The sequence below is a fragment of the Homo sapiens genome, chromosome 10 (genome assembly GCF_000001405.40).
Source record: "Homo sapiens chromosome 10, GRCh38.p14 Primary Assembly".
NCBI classification, from domain to species: Eukaryota; Metazoa; Chordata; class Mammalia; order Primates; family Hominidae; genus Homo; species Homo sapiens.
In genome coordinates this window covers 4907277-4917556 of record NC_000010.11, presented here as the reverse complement: position 1 = coordinate 4917556, position 10280 = coordinate 4907277, and the positions used below count along the sequence as shown (strand labels likewise).

Sequence of the window (10280 nt, the reverse complement as noted above, 5' to 3'; positions counted from 1 at the left end):
CTCCAGTAACGCCGGAGTCTAAGTCCTCTACCTATTTCCCTAAAGAGAGCCTCGCAAGGCCTGAGGAGTCCGACAATGCTTCATCCCAGCCTTCCACACCCATTGCCATATTTATGGAGGGAGGGAAGAGAGAGAAAAAGAGAGTCAACACTCTTCAGAGGACTCGCTCCTCTTAGAGGTCAGGGATGAAAAATTAGCCAATAAAATAACATTTTCCTACCATTTACGCACTTGATTCATACTAAGATACATGTTTTTAATTCTAGAAATGACAACTTATTGTATCTATATTAAGATAATTCTTTTTTTAACTTTTATTTTAAGTTCAGGGGTACAAGTGCAGTTTTGCTACACAGGTAAACTTGTGTCATGGAGGTTTGTTGTACAGATTATTTCATCGCGCAGGTATTAAGCCTAGTACCCATCAGTTATTTTTCCTGATTCCCTCCTCCTATCCTCCGCCCTCCGAAAGGCCCCAGTGTGTGTTGTTCCCCTCTCTGGGTCCATGTGTTCTCATCATTTAGCTCCCACTTATAAGTGCGGACATGTGGTACTTGGTTTTCTGTCCCTGTGTTAATTTTCTAAAGATAACGGCCTCCAGTTCCATCCATGTCCCTGCAGTGGACACGATCTTGTTCTTTTTTACGGCTGCACAGCATTTCGTGTTGTATACGGACCAGATTTTCTTTCTCCAGTCTGTCATGCACGGGCATTCAGGTGGATTCTACGGCTTTGCTATTGTGAATGTGCCGCAATAAACATACACAGGCACACGTCTTTATAACACAATGATGTATAAGCTTCTGGGTGTACAGCCAGTAATGGGATTGTTGGGCCAAATGGTTCAAGTTTTCCAATGAGAATATATTGTATGAATAACTTCTGAATTTTCATATCAGATTCAGACACTTTTCTGAAAGACAAGCACATGGCCGGCCAGGTTCTCACATTTCAGGAAGGGCTACTGTTTGCCTGAGGGTCCTTAGGGATATGTTATTGTTATTATTTTTCTATTAAATATTCTATTAAATCGATATTAAATTTAAATTTAATATCTATTAAATCAATATTAAATTCTATTAAATAGTTATTAAATCTGTGCTTGACCCACTTCTGCTTTGATTATGATAAATAATTTGGTCTGTGACTTTAACTGTAGCATAGGAGGGAGGGTTAAATATAAAAGAGCAGGTAACAGCCAAGATCAATTTATTTTGCAAGTTTCACAATAAAAGATCACAAGGCAAGCAAGAACATAAGAACTTTTCCAATGTCTAAAGGGCAATGGTTTCTCCCTTTACACCCGCTGTGAAGTTCAGTGTTTTTCTATTCATGATTGGACATGTCCTAGACATCACTTAGAGGTAAGCACCAAAATCTTTATTTATAGGAAACAATTCTCTGGATGTCAGGAAATATTCCTGTCTCAATATGGGACCATTCCCAGTTACTAAGCTTTAAATTATCATGCATACTTTTTGGTCTTTTAAGTGATTATATTGAGTGCTTTCTTAGGGCTTTCTTTGTAATTTGAAATTACTTGCTAAACTTGTTTAATTATTTCTATATAAAGGATATAAATTATAATTATGTAATTTTAAATAAATGCATAAATGCAACCATGTTCTGCTTTTTACTTTTTCTTTCAATTATTTGTCCTCAGTCGCATGGATATATACATGCTGTGTAGCTGAACTTTTTTCTTTCTCTTCAGATCTCCTTATGCCCTTTCCTTTCCATGTCACTCTTTTCAGCAGCTCCTCACACTAATTTATTAACAGCTTAATATGTACTTCCATATTTTCCCCATGCTCATATAATACAGAACTATTTCTTTAAAAAAAAAACATATATATATATATATATGTAGGCTGGGTGCAGTGGCTCACGCCTGTAATCCCAGCACATTGGGAGGCTGAGGAAGGCAGATCACCTGAGGCCAGGAGATCGAGACCAGCCTGACCAACATGGAGAAACCCTATCTCTACTAAAAATACAAAAAATTAGCCAGGCATGGTGGCAGGGCACGCCTGTAATCCCAGCTACTTGGGAGGCTGAGGCAGGAGAATTGCTTGAACCTGAAAGGTGGAGGTTGCAGTGAGCCAAGATCACACCATTGCACTCCTGGGAAAAAAGGGCGAACTTCCATCTTAAAAAATATATATATATATTTTTATATATAATTATATGTATACATATAATTATATAGTATATAATTATAAGTATACATATAATTATACATATTTAATTATATAATATTAATATATAAATATAATTATATATAATAAATTTATATATATAAAATATATATGAAATATATATAACATATTTTATATATAAAATATGTATATATTTTATATCTATAAATGGCTCCCACTTATAAGTGCAGACATGTGGTATTTGGTTTTCTGTCCCTGTGTGAATTTATAATATATATATTTAGATATTATATACTTTACATATTTATATATTATATATTTAATATATTAATATATTATATAGTTATATATAATTATATATTTATATATTATATAATATATATTATATAATATATATTAATATATATTTTTTCTCAAATATATATATTTATTTCTGGTGTAATTATTCTGGTGTATAATTATTCTGGTGTAATATATATATATTTCTCATAACATATATTTTTTCTCAAATATATAATTACATATTATATATTTATATATGAAATATTTAAATATTTCACATATAATTTTATAATATATAAATATTTCATATATAAAGTATATATTATATATATGTATGTATAAATACAACACACAGAAAGTATTTGGTCATGGCTTAACAAAACTGGATCCTGATACACCGTCCTGTGAGGTCTAGCACATAGAAATTCCTCTAAGTGCACCAGTGTTATTTTATTGGTTAATTTTTCATTCCTGATCTCTGAGAGGAGCGAATCCTCTGAAGAGTCTTGACTCTCTTTTTCTCTTTCTTCCCTCCCTCCATAAATATGGCAATGGGTGTGGAAGGCTGGGATGACACATTTTTGGACTTCTCAGGCCTTGCAAGACTCTCTTTAGGAAAATAAGTAGAGGAATTAGACTATAGTAATTAGACTCCAGTGTTACTGGAGTCGGTGCACCACAGTTACCAGTGATTGCCCGTGGGTGAGTGTTCATGTGGGTACAGTGATGGCACTAAACACGTTTGTGTAAAATATCCTGGCATGCATGCCACTACATGGGAGCTTTCATTTCTATGCGATCAGGATTTATGGCTTAAAAGGTCTGTAAAATTATACTTTCTGTAGCTGTTACCAGATTGCTTTTAAAATTCAGTTTTACATTTCTATCAGCAACATAGGAAAGTACTTTTTAAAAAATTTTTTACCTTCTTATCCATGCTTCTGCCCACAATAGGTAATATAAGTCATTTAAATGTTTGCCAATTAAATGGCTGTATAGTGAAAAAAATCTCCTTATTGTTTTAATTTGCTTTTCTCAAATGACTAGTGAAACTATACAACTTTGACTATGCTTGTGACCATTTGGACCTCTTTTCCTTGAAACATCTCAGAGTTTAGTCACTCTTTTATAAATTATGTGTCCTTTTCTTGACAATTTTTAACAGCTCTCTCAGGTTATTAATATCACCCTCAGTTTGCCTGATTTATAAAAGTTTTCCAAATTTACCATTTACTTATTAACTGTGTTAATAGTAAATTTTCATGCAAAAGTTTAATTTTTTTATATAACGAAATATCTCTGTCTCTTGCAAGGATTTTGTTGTTGTTGTTTATTAAACAAGGTCTTCTGTCACACAAGATGGCACGTTGGACATTCCTTGTAAGTTTTTCCTCCTCGTTTTTTATAGTTTGTGTCATATAGCTGGAATTTTTTGGACATATATGATGTCAGAAGGTATAGAATTCTATTTGTAAGGTCAATAACATTTTTCAGGCATTATTTATTAAATAACTTATTATCTCCCCTGAATTGCACTACCTTTTGAATCATATCTTAAATTCTTATATAAATAAAAACTAATTCTGAATTTCCTAGTCTAGTTAACTGATATTTCTGTGTAAACTTATACCAATGTTATTGTTATTGCTTAGAATATATTGGCTTTGCAATATGATGTGAGTTCCATTAAAGCAAGTTTCCCTCACTGTTCTACTTTTCATAAATTTTCTCTCTCACATTAATTTTTATATACACTTAAAGAAATTGTATCCAATTAAAAACAAGTCAGTTGGAATTTGAAATAGAATTTCTTGGATATATATATATTATTTTATGAGATTTACATTTTAATAGATTGTCTTCTCATCCAAAAATGTTACATTTTGTTTGTTCAGACCTTATTATATGCCTTCAATGATATCACATAGTTTTATTCTGTGGAATCTCTAGTAATCCTGTCAACTTTATTCCTAAGTATTTTGAAGTTGTTATCTGAGTGAATGCAACTTTTATTCATTTCCAATTCTAGATGCTTTGGCTCAAGTTTTGTGCATTTGTTTTGTATACAGTCACTACAGAAGTTTCCAGTTTATTCTACTGAGTGTTTTTTTTACTAGGATCTCTCGAATTTTCTAGTTGTATTATAATAATATCCAATATTTCACCAGTTGTTCTCTTTTGATATTGTATTTGCAGCATCCAAGACAATTTTACTATAGTTAGCCAGTTCTAAAGTATATATATTTTCACAGTTTAACATGTCTAATTCATGGCACCTTAAAATAATAATTAGCATTTTTCTTTCTTAGAGGTACACAAAATAATGCTCTGTAATTAATAGTGTCTGGTACTTGACAAAAATGGCAATAAAAATTTTAAAGCTGGACGTGATGGCTTACACCTGCAATCTCAGCACTTTGGGAGGCTGAGGTGGGCAGATTGCTTGAGCTCAGGAATTCAAGACCAGCCTAGAAAACATAGTGAAACACTGTCTCTACAAAAAATACAAAAATTAGCTGGGTGTGCTGGTGCGCAGCTGTAGACTCAGCTACTGAGGAGGCTGAGGTTGGAGAATCACTTGAGTCCTGGAGATTGAGGCTGCAGTGAGCCATGATCGCACCACTGCACTCCAGTCTGGGTGATAGAGTGAGACCTTTTCTCAAAAAAAAAAAAAATAAATAAAAATTAAAATGGTGATGTGATCTCTTTATTTGTACATTTTAATTCAATATTTTGCAACAGGAAAATTTACTGGGTGTTTTGGTAAATTATTTTTATTTCCATTTAAATAATTACTCAATTTATATTTTAGTTATAGTTTTATTTGCCTAAAATATCATTAAGCATCTATAGATATAAATTTATGTTTTTATTCTTTTAAAATTTATTGATGTCATAAATTATGTTACTAGATCTCCAGATATAAAAAATAATTATAACACTGACATTAAAACTTACAAATTGGCATATTATTTTATTTTATACAGTCTTGGATTCTATTAAGTAATATTTTTATTTAGAATTATGCATTTAGGCTCATCAGTGTAATTGAGCTATACTTGTATTTTTTCATTTGTTATTTTTTAGGTTTATTATCAGTTATGCTAGCCTCATAAAATAGAGAGTTTTCCATATCTTTTCCCACAGCCTGAAGTACCTTAAATAAATTTGAAACTATATTTTTGCAAAATTTTGGTCTTAGGAACACTTTATACTGTTAAAAATTATTGAGGACCCCCAAAGCTTTAGTTTACATGTGCTACATCCATTGATAGGCACCAAATTAGAAATTTAAACTAAAAAAAACTTTTAAATATTTATGCATCAATTTATTTAAGAAATAAACCTATTACCTATTAGCATAAATAATACATTTTATAACAAAATACAATATTTCACCAAACAAAAATCATTGAGAGAAAAATGATGTGGTTTTATAATTTTGAAAATCTCATGAGTAGCTTCACAGAGGACAGCCAGAATCTCAAATCTGCTTCTGCCTTAATCTGTTGCAATGTCATACACTGATGCAGAATTTCTGCTCCTTAGCTCAGATAAATCCAGGTTCTTGTATTATGATCAGAAAAATTTAGGCACATGGACAAATTGAAGGCTGAAGAGAGCAGAATTTTTTGGACAAAAAGGAAAAAAGAGAAAAAAAGTGAGGGGGGTCCTGCTAACAGGCTACCATCTCACAGATTGAGTACCAGGCCACCACACAGGAGCTAAAGAGGCCAGGCCCCTCCCCCTTGCACATGGCATGAACTTCCCATGGCTCCACTCCACTCTCCCAGCAGGCAGGCAAGTCCCCAGTCCGTTGTGGGCATGTGCAGACAAGACCCTGGGCACGTTCCCTCATCTATACAAAAGCATCTGATGTAAACACTTGTGGGGTGGCTTGGAGATTCTCTAGGGACCCTCCCTCAGCTGCCTCCTGCATCTATCATTCCCCACCTAAAGAAATACATCTAATGGAGCTGTTAGAGTAAGGATAAGGATAAGGCAAAGACAAATCTGAAGTGCGTCCTGCTGACAAGGGGTACTGTTTTGGGAAAACAGCAGTCAGATCTCCCTCAGAGTTTGATCTAAGGGTTCCCAGTAGAAGAGGGCATTGTCCAGGGCTCTAGTTGCATGACTGGTTGGAGTTTGTTGGCCTGAAGGTGAGAAGAGACAAACTGGGTTATTAGAAAACATGTATCAAAAGAAAACAAGGTGGGATAAGAAGAGCTCAAAAATCCTGAGGCCTTTTACTGGTTTGCACTGCAAGCGGGAGCCTTAAGAGCAAGGCTAGGAAAACATGCAGTTTCTAGGGCCTAATAAACAGGTATGGCTGGAAGACAAAACAGATTTTGAGAGGGCTCCATCCGCCTCTAATTCCTGAGGCTGCATGAGGAAATCCGAGGTCTCTCCCCACTCATGAGTATATTATGAGTGGCAAGGCAAAATGGAGAAAAATAATTCAGTCAAATGAGAAAAAAACCTTTTTCCAGGAAAGCAAGAGCCAAGAAGAAAAAACATAAAGGCCTTTTAAATATACCTGTAACTTGGACATTCACTTTTAATTAAGCTGAGCGCTCTTTAAGAAAACCCTTTATATCCCTGTTACCCCACTTTAGCTGTGCCAAGAGGCCAATATTTCTGGCTTTCAAACTTTACTAAAGGCTCAGGAAAAGGAAAATCCAAGGCAGTTTGTAGAATGGAAGACAATCAACAAATGGCAAAAGTCACACAGATATCAAACCAGAAAAGACTCATTCCCTAAGCCAGGATTGAACGTAGGCTGCCATTGCAAAATGGCAGAAGCTAAAATAAAGCACTACCATGTGGTTACAGGTCACAATTCCAAGGATGTAAAACAATATGGAGGCCTGCAGCAAAGTTTGCTGTTGACCATACAGAAAGACATGCAGAGCACACCAGATTGGCTGCAGCTTAAGACCAACCTTACAAATCCTTTTTTATAATTCAAACTTTACAGAGAATATAAACAGTGACAGCTGGGGCCCTGGCCTAGTAAAACGTTTTCTAAAAGGGGGAAAAAAGGTCTCACTTAAAAGTTAACTCCTGACCTGGTGGAGAAAAGAAAAAAAGCTTAAAGTGCAGGGGTGGGAAGATGTTTTTTAATTATGCAAATGGTTCCTACAACAGAGAGAGAAATTTAATTACTGTCTGATGGAGCTGGACCCCTTGGCCAGGGGTGGGGAAGACTCCGTAGATGCATTGCAGGGAACACTGGCCAGCTTGCCACATGGGGCCTGGGTCCCTGAGGCCACTTTGGGGCCCAGGCAGTGGCTGTGGCTCATTTCTGCCCAGCATGGCCGTTAGACACCACACGCACCTGTGGCAGTTATGGCCATGCATCCCAGTCAGGAGCGAAGGGGGGCAGGGAGCACCTGTGGCCATTGAGGTAGGGTGGTACACAGTTTCCTCTATCCTCATAAGAAGTCCGAGTACAAAAAGGCTTAGAAACAAAAGGGAAAATGATTTTTTTGGTTCACATCTTACTCACCCTTCCTCATGTCCCTGTACACGCCACCAAAATGATGCAGAATTTTTGCTTCTTAGTTCAGCTAAATCCCGGTTCTTGTGTCATGACCAGGATAAATGAGGCATGTGGACACATTGAAGGGTGAAGAGAGCAGAATGTATGGGCAAATAGGAAAAAGGAGAAAAAAAAAGCTGTCAGCAAATTGAGAGGGACTCCTGCTAACATGCTACCACCTCACAGATTGAGTACCAGGCCAACACACAGGACCAGAAGAGGCCAGGCTCCTCCTGCTGCACAGGCCATGAACTTCCTGTGGCTCCACCTTATTCTCCCAGTGCACAGGCGGGTCCCCAGTCCATTGTGGGCATGTGCAGACAACACCCTGGGCAGGTTCCCTCATCTGCACGAAAGCATCTGATGTAAACACTTGCGGAGTAGGTCGGAGATTCTCTGGGGACTCCCTCGACCCCCACCTTATCTGCGTCCTGCATCTATCAATACCACATAAGCCTCTGGGAAACTCCACTGTACGTTCACAAAAGAATGAGAGTAAAAAAGAAATAGGTTCTTAGTATTATCATAAGAATAATTTTTACATCATGCCCCCAGAAGGATTCTAGGGACCCCATAGGTTCTGGTACCAAACTTTGAAAACCACTACTTTAAAGTTTAGATAAAACCAACTCCCTATAGTCCTTTGTCACTACAGAACCTGCCTCTTTAATATTTGAAATTAGACAGATGCACTACAGTAAATATAAGTAGTCCCAGAAGAGAAAAGTGGTAGGGAAAAGCAACACAATACCCAGTTTGAATTACTATAGGGAAAAGAAAGTCTGCACTCTTGGTATAGGTAAGTGTTCATGAAGGAAGCTTGGTTTTGACACAGTAGGAGGTTGAGATTGAAGGAGTCGCTGTGGGTAATATTGGATCTTGAGTGAATTAATTCTTCAGTCACAGTTGTGTCTAGAGAAGTAGCTCTTTAATAAGGTAGGCATATTTAAAGCCCCTAATGACAGAACAGGTGATATTTCTCATATAGAATCAATACATATAATTATCTTGCTCTCTGAACACGTTTTCTTGCTATAGGAAAACTAGAAAGATGAGCTGAAAGATAGGGAACAGAATGCTGAAAGGGAAGGGAAGGTTGATATTGGAGGCAATTTTGAAAAACTTCAAAAAGACACCAAGCATTAGATCTTACCTTGTCAGAGAATCACTTAACACAGCCTTTTGACAGTTGGTTAGAGTAGGTTCAAAACACGTTTTTGTGCCTGGAGAGAAATAATATCTACAATTAATTTTGCTTAGTTTTACACCAAGTTGATTGACTGTATCCTACCAATTAAAACACAGAAAGTAGTTTTTTCTGAATATTTACACATTGATTAAAATTTTGAAAAATCAAGTTTTCTTAAACAGTTTGTGGTGAAATTAAGAATTTTATATACCTGTAATTGCCCAGTGGGTTAACCTTGCCCACTCCCTAGACAGAGTCTATTTATCAAGACGGGAGAATTGCAATGGAGAAAGAGTAATTCCCGCAGAGCCCACTGTGTGGGGGACTGGAGTTTTATTGTTTATTATTAGATCAGAGTTTGTCAAGATAATCTAGCAGGTAGAGGCTGGGGAAGTGGGGAGTGCTGCTGATTGGTCAGGTTGGAGATGGAATCATAGGGGGTTGAAGGGTGGTCTTCTTGCTGTCTTTTGTCCCTGGGTGGGATGGCAGACTGGCTGAGCAGCTATATTATTGGTTTGGGTGGTGTCAGCTGATCCATGGAGTACAGAGTCTGCAAAATATCTCAAGTGCTGATCTTCACTTTTACAATAGTGATGTTATCCCCAGGAGCAATTTGGGTAGGTTCAGACTCTTGGAGCCAGAGGCTGGATGACCCCTAAACCATAACTTCTAATATTGTAGCTAATTTGTTAGTCCTGGAAAGGCAGACTGGTCCCCAGTCAAGAAGGGGGTCTTTTCAGGAAAGGGCTGTTATCAATTTTGTTTCAGAGTCAAACCATGAACTGAATTCCTTCCCATAGTTAGTTTGGTGCACGCCCAGAAATGAGCAAGGATAGCTTAAAGGTTAGAAGCAACATGGAATCAATTAGGTCTGATCTCTTTCACTGTCATGGTTTCCTCAGTTATAATTTTTGCAAAGCCAGGTTCATAGCTGATAAAACTGGCTGCAGATAAAACATACAAATGCAAAGATTGTAAAATATGTTACTATACTGACACTTAATCCTTTTTTAAAAGACCGTAATTTTTAAGATTATTTCTAGATTAGTTTTGTAACCTTCTAGGGGTATGGCTATTATAAAGAACTCCAACTATGATAAACTCAAAG

The 10280-nt window shown here is 36.4% G+C and overlaps 1 pseudogene across 1 annotated transcript in view; it reads left to right on the top strand.

Annotated features, from left to right (window-relative positions):
• Nucleotides 1–1283: 1283 nt before the first annotated feature.
• AKR1C6P (aldo-keto reductase family 1 member C6, pseudogene) overlaps nucleotides 1284–10280 on the top strand; it is a 44607-nt pseudogene continuing 35610 nt past the window's right edge. Inside the window, exons 1-2 of the transcript NR_026743.1 lie at nucleotides 1284–1364; nucleotides 3755–3821. The product of NR_026743.1 is annotated as an aldo-keto reductase family 1 member C6, pseudogene (transcript). The remainder of the gene's footprint in view (nucleotides 1365–3754; nucleotides 3822–10280) is intronic.